This window comes from Homo sapiens, chromosome 4 (genome assembly GCF_000001405.40).
Source record: "Homo sapiens chromosome 4, GRCh38.p14 Primary Assembly".
NCBI classification, from domain to species: Eukaryota; Metazoa; Chordata; class Mammalia; order Primates; family Hominidae; genus Homo; species Homo sapiens.
The window spans coordinates 44,345,570-44,362,561 of record NC_000004.12 but is presented as its reverse complement, the minus strand read 5'-3'; the positions used below and the strand labels follow the sequence as shown (position 1 = coordinate 44,362,561).

Sequence of the window (16,992 nt, the reverse complement as noted above, 5' to 3'; positions counted from 1 at the left end):
CTTCACTGTTTTGCCGTACATTCTACAACACTATTTGATCTTCCACAAATGCTACCCTGCTCATATTATTATAGGAGCCATTCTGTATTGTTTTGTAGAAAGACTATGTATTTGGAACAAATACTGCTTACTATCTTTGTGATTTTTAAACACATGCTTCATTTTATAGTAAAGACACTAAAATACCCAAGTTGAAGTATTACCAGAAAACTCATGAAAGTTGAGGTTATGATTAAAATAAAATAATGCATATTCTCTTTATGCTTCTCATCTGCTTAAGAAATAAAGTTCTAAATTCTTAACTTTGCACCTAAAATCAACCAAAATTTGGTCTCAGACAACCTGCCTACACTTGCATTGACTCACCTACGTGTGGCTGGCATTTTAGCCAAAGTCTGCTCAGAACTTTTCTATCCTGTGTTTGGCTTTTCTGTTTCTGTACGTTCACCTCTATTTATATTTCTGCTGCCTGGAATTTTTTATCTCCTCTACCTTCATCATTTGTTGAAATGCTACCAATCCATTAAAGCCAACTAACAGCATATCCCCTGATTCCTGATTAAATGTAAACAGCCTAAAATGACCCTTTTTCTTTCTGAGATTCGTGGGGCTCTGAGATTTTTACTTTCTTATGATACTTAACAGTTATTGCTTTGGATAATAGTTACCTCTGGTTTTCTGACTATAAGGTACTCAATAGCAAGGCCAGTATTATGCATGTTTATGGCACTTAGAACTACATCAGACACAAAGAAAGCTTTCTATAACCACTTGGTGATTTAATGTATGATTTAGCTTTCAATATTCATAATTATCCTATTATTTCAAGATTACCTCTCATAGAGATCAATCTTTTTCTCATTAAATCATTAAAAATTGGCAAAATTTAGTATAATTGTGTTTTTCCTACAGTAGCTCAAGGGGACTTACCAGACCATTTCAACAATGCAGATTACATATCACCTTGAATATTTAAAAATTATTATTGTCTAGAAAACTAGTTCAAATTGACTAACAGCAGAAATGTTTCCTACTTTTTAAGAGATTGACAAATCTAGTCCTGTTCAGGAAAGAAACTGAGGCATCACTATTAAGTATTTCATGTTTTAAAAGTATCTAGTTCATTTCTGACCCAAATCCATCTCAACACCGAAGGCTCCATTGTATTATTGAGTGAGTGGTCTTTTGTAGAGAACATGTTAAACAATGGCCCAAATAATGGATATTATCTTATAATATACTATATGGCTTAGAAAGACTTCTTAACGTGTCTAGTATATTTTCCATACTTTAAGGCAAATTTTACTTAAACCAGTTCTGACAAGAATACAGATCTTTCAGTCTTAATTATTCCAAGGAAAACTGATTTTATAGCCTCTCCTGTAAAATAAGGATCTTTACAATGAATGTGGTAAATGAACCCGAGAGTTATTTTAATGGCAGATGAAATATGTCAGTGAAAAACTTGAAGTGAGTACGATCAAGGGAGAAAAAAAATCTCACTGTGCTTGAGATTAGGTGAACATAATGGCATATATGAAGACTTTTAATGATGGCTCTCAGGGAAATTCTACTTTGAGATAGAGAATAAGAGATGATAATGGATTTTGATGGAAGAGGAGAGGAAAAGAGCATTTGAGAAAACTGGAGATGAAATATTGGGAATCAAATGGAAAAAAGCCATGAGGAAAGAAATATAAACATAAGTAAATGAAATAAGGCACAGAAGGGCTTTTGTAGATTGCATTTTTAAGAGATATTTAATGCCTGTTAATCTGAAATTTAAAGAATTGTTGGCTGTGCATTTATATTGATTTGGTATATTTTTTAAAATTAAAAGCCTTCAGACACTAAATTTTTATGATCACTTTTTAGAAAGCATCTCTTGAGGATTTCTGTTTTCACTTTAATTAATTGAATGTAAAGATTGCCTTTTCATTCTGTTTTCTCGATGCTCCTGGTTGTTTGAAAAAGAATTCTCTGTTCATTTAATAAGAAAACACTTGTTCCTTAGTTTACTTCTCTAGACTTCCAGTGGAAGTAGTGATAATTAAAATCATCCATTAGTATAATTGTTGTTTTCCTTCTGGCAACTTGGATTTTATTTTTCTTTGGCTATGTCTAAGTTTTCCGTAGCAATTTTATGAAAATATCCATGAAAGATGACTGTATTATTTACCCTGGATGGCACTGATGGAAAGCAAATCATATGTACTAAGTGTGTAAAGCAAAACAGGGAGCAAGGCTTTTCTTAACTTCTTTTGTCTTTTATTTGAAGCCAGGAGTATATAAAGCAAATAATTTTATAGATTCTTAGAGAATTTGGATGGTGTGTGTAAAACAGTTGGGGTAATCTGCCTTTTCATTATATTACATTTATAATTTATATTTTTCATATATTCCTCTTTATGAATACAATATTTTATTAAAATATAAAAGGCAACATTTAAGTTTTGTATTGCCGCTAACTTCTATCTACTGAATAAATTTACTGAATCATTCCTAGTCCCCTGTATCATAAGGGAAAGTAGTCTACCCCTGAGAAGGGGTTAATTGTTACTATGTATGTGTATCCTTAATGTAATAATCTACATAACTGTGTATTTAACCCTACTGAAATAATGTCCCTTATTTTTAAAAAGTCACATAAATATGTATATTTTCTCTGCATCACAGAATGGTAGAATAAAAATGTATGATTTTGTTAATGTCTGTCATCTCAAAAATATTTAGGAAAAAACTACATGCAAATTTTAAATAACACCTCCCTTATCTGGTCTCATGATGAATTTTAAACTTATTCAGAATGGTCTGTGGTACTAGAAGTTTTATCTAAGCTTAAATAAAAATTATTGCCCTACATGGATTTAATTCATGCTCTGCATAAGTTAGGTCTCACAAGCAGCAAGAGCAAAAGAAGAGAGTTAAATAATTAAGAAATAAATAACATTTATATAAAACAAGTTACTTGGGTTGAGTGTTCTGAATTTTATTTTACTTCAGTACAAGAGAATTTACATATAAAAACAAGTTCTGCTGATATTTCCTATATATGTTGTTTCCTTCTCTGTCGCTAAGGTATATTTATATCCAGTCTACAAATAACGGATGATTTAGATGATTAATATGTTTTATAAATAAGTTGGCATATGCAAAATTTATTTCATTTTATTCTTATTATAAACTTCATCCTACTGTTCTAATACAATATCAATCAGAAAAGCATTTGATGTTTCAGGGAAAGCCAGTTAATAGAAGAAGCAACAGTGTTAAAAAAAAAACCCTAGAAGAAAACCTGGGCAATACCATTCAGGACATAGGCATGGGCAAAGGCTTCATGACTAAAACACCAAAAGCAATGGCAACAAAAGACAAAATTGACAAATGGGATCTAATTAAACTAAAGAGCTTCTGCACAGCAAAAGAAACTATCATCAGAGTGAACAGGCAACCTATAGAACTGGATAAATTTTTTGCCATCTATCCATCTGACAAAAGGCTAATATCCAGAATCTACAAATAACTTAAATTTAAAAGAAAAAAACAAACCCATCAAAATGGGTGAAGGATATGAACAGACACTTCTCAAAAGAAGATATTTATGCAGCCAGCAAACATATGAAAAAAAGCTCATCATCACTGGTCATTAGAGAAATGCAAATCAAAACCACAGTGAGATACCATCTCATGCCAGTTAGAATGGCAATCATTAAAAAGTCAGGAAACACACATTGGGAGGCCGAGGCGGGTGGATCATGAGGTCAGGAGATCGAGACCATCCTGGCTAACATGGTGAAACCCCGTCTCTGCTAAAAATACAAAAAAATTAACCGGGTGTGGTGGTGGGCACCTGTAGTCCCAGCTACTCGGGAGGCTGAGGCAGGAGAATGGCATGAACCCGGGAGGCGGAGCTTTCGGTGAGCCGAGATCGTGCCACTACACTCCAGCCTGGGTGACAGAGAGAGACTCCATCTCAAAAAAGAAAAAAAAAAAAGTCAGGAAACAACAGATCTGGAGAGGATGTGGAGAAATAGGAACACTTGGACACTGTTGGTGGGAGTGTAAATTAGTTCAACCATTGTGGAAGACAGTGTGGTGATTCCTCAAGATCTAGAGCCAGAAATACCATTTGACCCAGCCATCCCATTACTGGTATATACCCAAAGGATTATAAATCATTCCACTATAAAGACGCATGCACATGTATGTTTATTGCAGCACTGTTCACAATAGCAAAGACTTGGAACCAACCCAAATGGCCATCAATGATAGACTGGATAAAGAAAATGTAGCACATATGCACCATGGAACACTATGCAGCCATAAAAAAGGATGAGTTCATGTCCTTTGCAGGGACATGGGTGAAGCTGGAAACCATCATTCTCAGCACACTAACACAGGAACAGAAAACCAAACACTGCATGTTCTCACTCATAAGTGGGAGTTGAAGATTGAGAACACATGGACACAGGGAAGGAAACATCGTGCACCTGGGCTTTGGGGGGTGGGGGGCTAGGGGAGGGATAACATTAGGAGAAATACCTAATGTAGATGATGGGTTGTTGGGTGCAGCACACCACCATGGCATGTGTATACCTATGTAACAAATCTGAACTTTCTGCACTTGTATCCCAGAACTTAAAGTATAATAATAATTATAATAATAATAATAAAAGAATATTTATGTTTAGAGAGAATAACTACTGTGCTGATACAATAATCCTTTAATGTTCATGTTTCCTTTTATTTTAATGATACCAGAGGAGAGCATTTATTCAAAAAGAAGGTACAATGTATGAAAAAAAATCTCTACTTAAAAATGTATACAGAAGTTATCTTTTTTCCTTAAATTTTAATGCAGAATGATGACCATTATATGTAGTATTCACAGTCACATCCTCTGAAGTATATGTCTAATTCTAATGATTCCTTTAAGCAGAGTTATTCATGAACTTTAGCTTAATATTCTATGTTCCCTTTTGTTAGAGAATTGGCTTTAGGCAGAGAGTCCTCTGCCATTAATAGTGGTGTTAAGTGACCCTTCACACTCTGAAATATTCTTATAATACACTTTAGATTTTTGGTCTTTTGTTTTTAGAGCCATAGTAGGAATTTTATGGTTTTATCTATAATTACTCTTGAATTAATCTTACGGGAAGACAAATGCTTCATTCATTTATTCAAATATTTATTACTTTTTCTTTTGATGCCAGTGGTTTGGTAACGATGGAAGAGAAGGGAGAAAAGGAGAAAAAGGCAGCCTCGCAAAGAAAGACAAAGGCTAAATCTTTTGTCAGGTTGCCACCACTTTACCAGTTTTGTTGCTTTTGTCAAGTTATTTATCCTTTTTGTTTCTTAATTTTCTCATCTTTGAAAGGGGAGTAGAATGATGTGCTAGAGGAAGAGATGTGGTTTAATTCATGTGATGTAAATTTTAACTATATGTTTGTTTTGAAGGGTTTTTTTTTTTTTGCCTCAAATGCCTTTCTTTGATATAAATGCCTTTAAAATAGAGTTTTGTGGGAAATGGCATGACATCTTACAAAGGAGGATAGTCTACAAAAGTTATATCTTGTAATTTCATGGAATGTTACAGTTTTCAAAATATTGTTCTAAATATGGAAGCATTTTGAGTCTTAGGCCAATCTTATGTCATAGGCATGATGGTCATCAATATCCTCACACAGACAAGTCTCCAAGTTCCGTGGACAGCAGGTGTCTGAGACAGAAATGGAATTTGGATGACATAAATTGTAGTGGACTGTTCTTTTCATTTGAAACTACCTCCCAGGCCAAGCACGGTGGCTCACACCTGTAATCCCAGCACTTTGGGAGGCCGAGGCAGGTGGATCACCTCAGGTCAGGAGTTCGAGACCAGCCTGGCCAACATGGTAGGAACCCTGTCTCTACCAAAAATACAAACAATTAGCCAGATGTGGTGGCTACTCGGCTACCAGCTACTCGGCAGGCTGAGGCAGGAGAATCGCTTGAACCCGGGAGGCGGAAGTTGCAGTGAGTTGAGATCGTGCCACTGCACTCCAGCCTGGGCAACAGAGCAAGACTCCGGCTCATGAAAAGAAACTATCTCCCAGATTCTTTACAGAAGGTAGAAAAGGTGTTGATCTAAGAATAACCTAACAGATCTATCTATGGGATTAATTCTCCTTGAATAACTGTCAATTTATAATGCTTAGTCTTTCCTTTATATTTTTATTTTGCCACAAAAGAATAAATGATTCAAAGAAGTACAAGAGAGACCACATCAGTCATTCTTAATTCACAGCAAACTGCTTGGGATATTTGGGGTCTGACTAAATTTTTGGTAAAGCAGGTAAAATATTATAGTTGAATGAGAAGCAGTAAAAAAGACATTTGATGAAAGATACTTTTAAGCTATAGTCAAATTCTGAAAATTATGAAAGATTCAGAATAAGTTGAGGAGTAAGTTAGGAAGAAGTATACTCAAGTATGAGGGGCAAAGCCTGTATGGCTAGAAGTTATATGTAGTATATGTATATTTAGGGTTGAATATGTGTGTGCACTTGTTTGTACAACCGTATTCTAAGTTTAGTGGTCATTTTGCTAGTGATTATTGATGATAATACTCAGATTTGCAATTTAGCTATAAAATGTATGACTTTATATACTTTAATGATTATACTTAGCAGTTTAGTTCCTGTATTAAACATTTTAATTAACTGCACTGCCCCATATATTAATAGAAGACAAATAATCCACATTCTTAATTTGCGTTTGATATTATAAAATGAAGAACTGTGCTAATTTTGATTTCTTACTTGATCATGCCCATGCCCTCAATATAGAGACCAAATAATTTTCACGAAGAGATTGGATGAATGGTAATTTATTCTGTTTATCTAAATACGCTACACAGAAGTCAACCCTAGCTGTCAAAACAGAAATTAACTCAGAAATAAATGAGAACAATTTCTTCATGGCAAACATATTACAAAATTCATGTAGGATTATAATAGAATTAGAACCATCTATAATGGCAAAGAATATTTTTAAAATTATGCATAAAACTACATTGGTTGATTAGTTAATTTAGTTTTGAGATCACAAAATATTAACAGCATGGGTTGGAGTTACTAAAACCTAAAACACTTTGTCATAGTTCTTAATGAGGAAAAGACGAAAGAAAAAAAGCAACATGCTCAGCTATAAAGCAAATGTCTTAATTGATCTCACTAACTCCTGAAAAAATGACCTTATCACTGCATAGTTTAGTAATCAATGTTTCTAGTGACTATATTATTAAGGGAAGGATAAATTATACATTGGTGTTCTCTGTTTTAAAAGACAGAAAAAAATCATGTTTTGATAATTCTCTTTCAACAATAATAAGTAATTTTTAAATAATGCTTTGTCGAATACGGGAGTAAACTTTAATTATCTGGAGACAGTTTTCATTATAAATATCAGTACTGAATTCTTCTCAATTAATTCAAATATTCATAAGGTTTTCTACTTGAATATTTAGTTTTAATACAACAATTATATAAGACAATGTGTTGAGACAGCTAAAGCTATCTTATTATTTACTTCCTACTTCCCAATTATTGTGCATTTATTCATTTTCTCACAATAATATCAACTTTTTAAAATGAAGAGCATTTCATAGTTCTTTTTCACTCTTTTTGCCTTTCAGATTGGGAATACATACTAACTGCATGATGTCCATTGTATGCAAGTTATTTGCTAAATGTTTTACAGGCTCTTCCTTGGGGAATTTATACTGTATCTATGATACTGTAAGGATATGTTAAGTAAAGCAACACAGCATGGTGCTTACAAGTATTTAACATTCCTGTGCCTTAGTTTCTCCATTTGTAACATAGGGATGATAATACTACTTACCCATGAGGATTTTACGAATCCTCATGGATTCGTGCAAATGAAATAATTTGCACTGAACACTTAGAAAATTAAGGACAGACAGTAAGTGCTCAATAAGTTGATAAAATGAGTGTATTAAATGATCCAGGAAGAGGAGGTTGCATCTCCTTTAGGCTTCATTAAAAATATAGTACCTGAGATGGACCGTACGGATGTGATCTGGACAAGTGGAGGAGGTAAGCCTCTGAAAATGAAGGTTGTTTTAGGTGGAGAAAATGACCTGAGCCAAAGTTTAGAGCTGAGACTTTGTGCTATATTTAGGGAAGAGTCATCCAGTTTCCCTGGTGTGAAAAGTAAGCGTGAAGGAATGGAATCAAACTAGCTGGAAATGTAGTGTTGAAGCCAGGGAGTAGGAAGACTGCTAGGCCAAGCTAAGAAGTTGTTACTTTAGGAATTAAACACAGACAAATAAACACACACACACAACAAATGAACTTAAATATGTTTAAGCTGGAAGCTGATATGATTAAAATTTATCATAGAAGAGTAATAAGTTTCATTTGAAAAAAGATTGGTAGAAAGGATACATATGTTATTGCAAAAAAAACTAAGCATTAGAAGTATGGTAATAAGAATGTGAAAGGGGGAGTTATGGAAGGATGTTAGAAAAATAACTTTTGTTTGGATTGAGTATCTACTAGATTTTTAAAAAAATATTGGTTGCAGGGTTACCAATTCCAATGGTTGGAGCAATCCAAAGCATATTTTCCAACCCCAGTAACATAACTGGGACTGGAGTAGCTCTGTCTTACATAACAGTGAACAACTATTTGTCTTAGTAACAACTATTTGTGGAATAGAGGTAAACAGTGATTAGAGACAGTATTAAAAGTTTACTTTGGAAAGGTGAAAAGGTCCAAAATCAGTAACCTAAGCTTCCATTTTAGATGCTAATGTTAAGTGATATAAGCCAGGCACAGAAAGACAAATATTATATGTTTTCACTAATATGTGGGAGGTAAAAATATTGAACTAGTGGAGACAGTAGAATGATGGTGACCAGAGGCTGGGAAGGGTAATGAGAAGGGGGATAAAGAGGTGATAATTAATTGGTACAAAAATATAGTTAGATAGAAGGAATGCAACCTAGTGTTTGGAAGCACGATAGGGAAACTGTAGTTAATGATATTTTAGTGTATATTTAAAGATAATAGAGTAGAATTGCTCTGTTCTTAAAGAAATGATAAATTCCTGAGATGCTGGATACATTAATTACCCTAATTTAATCATTACACATTGTATGCTTGTATTAAACTATCACATGTATCCCATAAATATATACAACTCTTATACTTGTAATAATTATAAATAAAAAAGCAAAAATATATAAATAATAAAAACAGCAGGATAAATGAACTGATACACACAACTACAGTGATGAACTTCAGTACTTTTATGTTGACCAAATGAAGCAGACACAAAAGATTTCTAACTTTATGATTTCATTTATGTGAAATTCTGGAAGACACAAAACCTAGTTCTAGCAGGTTAGTGGTTGTCTGTGGCCAGAAGGGCAGAAATTGACTGCAATGTGGTAAGATAACTTTTTGAATTTTGGAAACATTCTGTATCTTTATTCTAGTGATAATCACCACTTACATGTAGATATTTGCCAAAACTCATTGTATTGTACACTTAAAATAAGTGAATTTTTATCGTATGCACCTTTATACTTAATTTAAAATGATGATAACAACAAATGTCTATAGCTAAGTAAGCACAACCTGAGTTTTGGTGAAAGCAGTTGATATTATAGTGGGAGAGAATGAGATGGATGCTTACAAAAATTCTAGTGTGGTCAGATTGAATACCTACTTCAGGAGTGGAAGAAGATAGAGAGGTGTTACATAAAGGTGCCTAATGATAACCTATACCTTTTTATGCATTCTGCTTTCCACCTTGAGCATAGATAGGAATATACATAGATAGATGGATACAATGAATATCTACCTTTAGATTATGGATATTATATAATACTTTCTTTTCTCATATTTCAATGTGTTTTATATTTTCTATGATTTCTAAAAATCTGGTCTTTATTCTCTTTTATTATTTCTATTTTTAATAGAAATAATAATTTTAATATATAATATACAAAAATATAAATAGTATATAAAATATATAAAATAATATTTAATATATAAATAATAATTTTGTAATATTTCTATTCTATTCTCTTTTTACTATTTCCATTCTATTCTCTTTTTATGTCCTATTCTCTTTTTACTCTATTTCTATTTCTATTCTTTTTAATGTGTCTTTCCTTTTACTAAATTTCCCATCCTTATCAATCAAGTAATCTAGGTATTATCTTTGAGAAACCCTAGTGTTACAGGCTAACCATCATCACATATATCACATAGCCACAGGTCAGCATTGCAGTGCTTCAGAGGCATTGTGGAACCCAAACAGACCACTGAGGAATATGCATGATTTCAGTGTAATCTGACAAAAGTCTGGCCCATATGGCTAATAAGACTTTCATTTAGGTAAACTGGAATCATTTTAATGAATCCTGGCACTCATCCACAGAAATGAGCAGAAGCTTTAGGGTACATGGAATGAGAAGAGAATTTCTGAGTCCACAGTAGTGGCCAGGTAAGAAGTTCTCTATATCCCCAGTCTCATTTTCTTCCTGTCAAATATTCATTACCAATAAATAAAATAAATAAATAAATAAAAGAAATACTTATTTTATGTTTTATTCTTTTTAGACTGTGCCTGCTGTGACAGTTAATGGAGTTTGAATGTTGACTGAATAAGTTGGAAATAAAATGTTTAATAAAGAATAAATAAATATTTTCAGTTCAGTTGTGTAGCTATAACTACCCAATAACTATACCGTCTCTGCTGTACTCAGCAGTGTTCTAGGCAGGGACAAAATGTTCAGTTAGTGAAAGATCACATTCATTATTTCAAGGATCTTATGATCTCTATGTTCTATTGTACCATATTGATACTTTACATTAAAGATATTTTCTAGATTGTTGCATTGTTAGAGAATGTGAACCTTAAGCCCTTAAAACTCAGTGTTCCTCTCATTTCAGACATCTCCACAGAGATGTAGTTTCCTGTTGAAATTTGTAGACATTCTTGAAACTTTATGGTCCATGAATATATAATTTAAAAACCAATGACAAAGATAATTTTGTAGCAATTTGTGTTATTTGTTTTTCTGAAGAAACGGCCAAAATGATATGGAAATCTAATTTGGTTTCATACCAACTAAATGGGTTTGTTTGGGTACTTTTAATGCACAAAAATTCTTTTTAATGACTTAAAATTGAACTAATTTGAGTCCTGTGGTGAAAATGTCAGATCAACTAGCCCATAATGTTATCCCCAGAACGTCATTTATTAATGCATTTCACAATTATTTAGACAGCCAGGAGCTGTTCCTGGTGCTGAAAATAAAATGGTAAGACAAAGTTCATGTTTTCATTAAACTTGCATTCTAGGGAAGAAGCCAGACAAAATTCACCAATTTAAAAATCAATATGTAAATAATGAAAGATAATTATAAGAATGTGAAGACAGAGCACGGTAAAGGAACAGAATAAATGGGAGAGAATTCCTTTATAGATGGAGGTCAGGGAAGCCGAGGATCTAAATTTGGAAATATATCTGAATAAAATTGACATATTGAGTGAATTGGAATCTACCCTGAGACATCCCAGGTAGCCAATATTGAGTTAATTGGTGAATGCAATAGTGGTTGCATTCATGTAATTTTGACGAACGTCTGATTGGACTGCACAGGAACATAGGAGGAGAAATGAAGAACAGAGTAGGTATTGACAGCCCTTTCAAGGACTTAGGCTGAATTAGGGCAGAAAATCAATATTTGTTAAATAAATAATGGAAATGATAGTCTAGTTTTTCTGATTCATTAAATGCCATTTTACATTGGTGGCATTTCATAAATTAGTGGTTATCAAATGTTCTTCTAAACAATGAAAACTTTTTATTCATTTTAAAAAAATATATCTTTTGTAGAGCAGTCATACATAAAAAGATATCCTTAGAACATCACTAAAAAATTTTTGGAGTTGTTAGCTTGCATATTGCCAACTGATGTTAAATTAAAATACTTTTTAGGAGCTGCTATTTCAAGTGTTGTGCTAGAAGCTCTTGTATTTATATTTACATATAGACAAATATATACACTGACTTTGACTTAATGACCCACTTATTATAGGTGTACATGAAACCACAAGAGTGCAGAAATAAAAAGAACATGTGACAGTTCATGGATATTCTTCCAAACTGGTTTTGTTTTTAGTTTTAGTTCTAGTTTTGGCTAAATTGTGGAGGAACATCTGGTTATCAGAAGGGGTTAGACTGTAAGGCTTCAGATGATGGGTAGGATTTTAATAACTGAGAAGGTGTTGTGAAAACGGCATAATGCATAGAAAGAATTTTGAAAGGTATCAGTGTTAAAACATAGGCAGGAAAGTATGAGACATATTTAATAGATGGAAAATTATCAGATACAGGCAGAGGAGGAAGAATAGTAAAGGGGAATCAAAATGTGTTAAGTATTTTTTGCCCTAATGTTATCTCAGTAAACATTTGCAAAATCTATACCAGATATTCTTATTTTGCTAATGAGGAAATCAAAGTGAAAGAAGTTATATACCTAGTCAGTGGTAGATGGAAATAATATTCTGAAGCTTGTCTCTCTCTAGCTCTGAAGTGTTCTCCTCTGGTCTCTACTATCTATAAATAAACCCAGAAAGAATTATTTGGCCCAGATTTTGGTGGGTATTGGATGCCAATTTAAAAATTTTTAACTTGCTTTAAAATAATGAATAATAAATATTTAATAAAACAATAATATTAAGTAGTATTGAAGGATTTAATATAGGCCTTGATACAATCAGAGTTGTGCTTTGGAAAATTACTTGGAAAAAAATTAGAACTAGGAATGGAGGATTCAGGATAGGAAGCATAGGTCAAATCTAGTCGTGTAAGTGCAAGGTATCTAGGGGATGGCAGTCATGGAAATGCACCTCTTAGCTCTCCCTTCTGGAAAGAACCTGCTGGTGAGCTGTAAGTTGTACAGTTAGTGGACAGCTTCTAGTCCTTAATGCTTTCAGGATGACATTAGCTTTTGAACCACAGTCATGCTTTATTCTGGGACAGCTCTCTACCAAGACAGAACACGGCAAGGGTGCTAGAGCCTGGTCATTCCTGCCCGATGTTGGACAATTGCAATGGGCATTCCTTGCTCTCAAGCTTCCCATTGGATTAGCTGAGGCTTTGTCTTTATTGTGATCTGAGGTGCCCCCTGCCCAGTGCTGTTTTCCTCACCCATACTCCCTTCCTTAAACATTTTTCAGATCTGCATCATATTCTGAAGGCTTTCCCAACCCAATATTTCTCCTTCTTCTTTTTATCTTTCACAGACATTATCCACAACAAACCACATGCACTCCTAACTTCATCTCAAAATGTTTATCCTAGGATCAGCAAAGCATGATAATCAAAAAGTGAAGATGGTTGCTAGAGCTGTTGGTAAATGATGATGATAGCATTGGTGGTAGTGGTGGTGGTGGTGGTGGTGGTGGCGGTGGCAGCGATGGTGGTGCTACTAAGCATAGACATTAGCATCATTTAAGTTTTTCTATAGTCTTGTCTACAAATACACCTTATAAATGTGCAGTTTCAAGAACATATCTAAAAAGATGTATTTGAAGAAAGAGAGGAAAAAAATCAGAAAAAAATGAGGCTCAAGGGTAGTAAGAGGGAGGACTGTGCCAACTGACAGGGGAGAGTTTCAATAAGCAGGAGGGAATCAATGCCAGAAATACTGCCAACCTGTCAAGGAGGGTGAACACAGCAAGAAGGTCATATAACCGGTTTTTGTGCATGTGTCTGAAGTGTTTTTGTTCTTAAATGTGAATATACATGGCTGTAAGCAACAAGGACTGAAAAGGGTCACTAATCTGGAATCATGTGTGTAGACTTTAATGATGTTCAACACATCATTATCACTTCCTTTCTAAAGCAATACGTATAGCTTTTCTAATAAGTATTTTTTGGTAAGGAATTAGTATACAAATAAAAACTTACAGTAGTGAAGACACACATATATTAACTATTAGAATGAATATCATTGATCAAAAAAACAGAAACTGAAGGTACATACACACTTAACTTGCATCTTTCTTTGAGATTCTGGCTAGTTTATATTTATTTTTCACTGTAGTTTGCATTTATTTTCTACCCTCACTGAAACAAATGGCACTAAGCATAATATTCCCTTAAATTGATTTACACCTATATTTTCAAGTTGGACTTTCAGATCGATGTTACATTGATAGCGGCATTATTGCATTTATTTAAAACTGAGTTACGAAAATGGAAGTAGAAAAATTGGGTTTTGAATATTCTTTACTTGTCTAATATTTAGCCCAATTAACTGTGCCATTTTATTTAGTGATTTTCATAGCTGACCTACAATGTCTTTACCGTGCAAAGTTGCATGTTCTTTTTTGTGTAATACAGTCATTTTAATTATGGTCTTTACCTTGTCCTTCTATGTTATTTGAAGCTAGATACACTCATTAGGAAGGAATGGTGAATTTCTAAGCAAAATTGGGCTATAATTTTTGTACTTGCTGTGTGTATTTAGAGAACAGTTCTCCAACTGTGATATTCATATAACATTATTTCTCATGAAGGTAACTTGCTGACTTATTTCAAGTGAAAGGCTGTATTATGCCCTACAGGGATAATAATGACATTTTTTCCCTATAAATGTATCTAATTATTTCTTTAATGGTACCAGGAGAAACATGTGGCTGCCTGCATTGCCATTAGCATGATTCCGTTTTATGCATATAATACTGCTAAATTCACAGCTGATTTTAAAACCTTATAGCTGAAAAGTTATATATAAAATTCTATTATTAATTGTAAATATCAGTGTTGATAATGCTCATATTTTAATCTAATATAATTTTCTCATTAGTTATATTGAGGTCATATACAAAAATTATGCATTACTTACTTGTTAATGGTTTACTGGGCTTTCTTGTCAACTAAAGATGTTTAGCTGAAAAAGCTCAAGAATAGTGCACTAAACAATGTGGAACTAATAGGAGCAAACCGAGGGATTTCTTCATGGAACTCCTCTTCCAGGATCAAATGTTAAAGATGGTGGTTGGAAAGTCCCCACTGACCAGTAGCCATTGGCTCTTGGTTTCTTCAAGGATGTACTCTTATCCTAGTGATTTAGTTGCCAGTGAAAGCTGAGTCACTTGCCATCATGTCTGTTTTGTGCCACATTGGTAATATTGAAGAACTGCCCTGCACCACCTGTGGCCCAAAGCCCATGTTCCAACCATGATTGTCATGGACCTTAACAAGAGAAACTCAGATGACCTTTCATTTATTAGGTGTACTCAACGCTGATGTTACCATGTTTAATAAGCTATGATAGTAGCTTTGAAATAATGTGAGCAATTGCTCATTTCTACAAGTTAGCATTACATTCACTTTAAGAAGGTCTGGAATTATATCCTTTCTTACAGCATCTGAGCAGCAGTCTCTGCTTACACCCCCAACCATAACATGGCTGTATTTGATGTTGTGGGCCATAGTATCATTCAATATAACGTGTCTTGGAGTACCTCAATCTGAAGAACTCTAGACAATGCTTTGATACACTGGACTTATTTCTTCATTTTCCACTGAACCCAGGAGATATTCAACTCAGGTCTTAGTAGTCTTTTTCTCTCCTTCCAAATATATACTTTACTTTTTGTGTTCATGGTTTATAAAACCAAGTTTACAATTCCAATCCCTTGTAGTAAACATGAAGATATATATTTCCTTTAACTAAAACATATATACGTAATTAGGAAGAGCACAAGCTCTATAAATGAGTGTCAGCTTGTGGTGACTTGGAGAAGTAAGAAGGGTCAGTCACCATGACACTTCTCTTTGTACTAGTGCTGTCATCTGTGTTCCAATACCCAGTCTCTTTCATGTAGCCAAGAGGTGGGTGACATTTGTATGTGCATATATTTTTAGTTTGAGCCAGTTTCATCTTTTCTTTGAACTTGAAGTCTGCCAATAAAAATAACCTCTGGCCATTTTTTTAATTAATTAACCATGTGGTATAGTTGTATAATCGAGCTGAAATTAGTTGAAATCAGTGGCTAGAATTTAAATATAAGGAATGTCTATGAGAGTTGAAATTGTCGCTTTGAATATCACCACAATTTTACATGGGAGTTGAATTTAAAATATCTCCAGAATATAAGAATGTGAGGATATAAAATATCACAGATTTTTCAGTGTGCTATGATATTTCCCCAATAAATATCTTTTGAATGAGGACCAAGGGCATCCGGTTACAGCAATCAACTGAGAAACCAGGCAGAATGATCTTATGATCCTAAGGTCATTTTGAAAAAGCTGAGCCTTCGAGATATAGAAATGTACATGTGATCATTTGAATAAAAAACTTGGAAACTGCCATAGAATTTGAAAGTGGGATCATATTGATCTCTAAGTCTGATCAGCTATTCAAATGCAGATCTAACAATATTCATACTGTTTCTTTAAGAAGGTAGCAACTTGTTAAAATTACAGCATAACCATATAAATTATGAACGCTTTAACTAGATTGAAATCTCTAGTACCATAAAAGCATCTCAATTTTTCTTGTATTTCTTTCATTGTATGTGGTTTTTTTTTGTTTCCCAGAGTGCAGCCTTTTCTATTTAATTTTTTAAGTCTATTTGTTTTCTCATCTAGATGATGTATAAATCAGTCTTAAATTATATAACACATACCTGTATTCTCCCCAGTTCTAGGCTTTGTTGAAAATCTTGTACTCAAAAATATGGAGTCTAGTTGAGAGGATAAGAAACAATTTGATTCCAAACAAACAAGCAAGCAAACAAACATGAACATCTCTTGACTAGAGGAGAGTATATTTATATTTGGGGCCTAAAGAGAAGGTATAAGTTTGGTCAATATGTATGCTACATGTATAAACTTTTTGATTTTTTATAGTCAATGAAATTGATCCTGGTTATGCTAGCTCTCTGCAGCACT

The 16,992-nt window shown here is 33.7% G+C and overlaps 1 protein-coding gene across 2 annotated transcripts in view; it reads left to right on the top strand.

The window, feature by feature from the left end:
- Nucleotides 1–16,992, top strand: part of KCTD8 (potassium channel tetramerization domain containing 8) — a 274,907-nt gene that overhangs the window by 86,248 nt on the left and 171,667 nt on the right. The gene's annotated exons all lie outside the window — the stretch shown is intronic.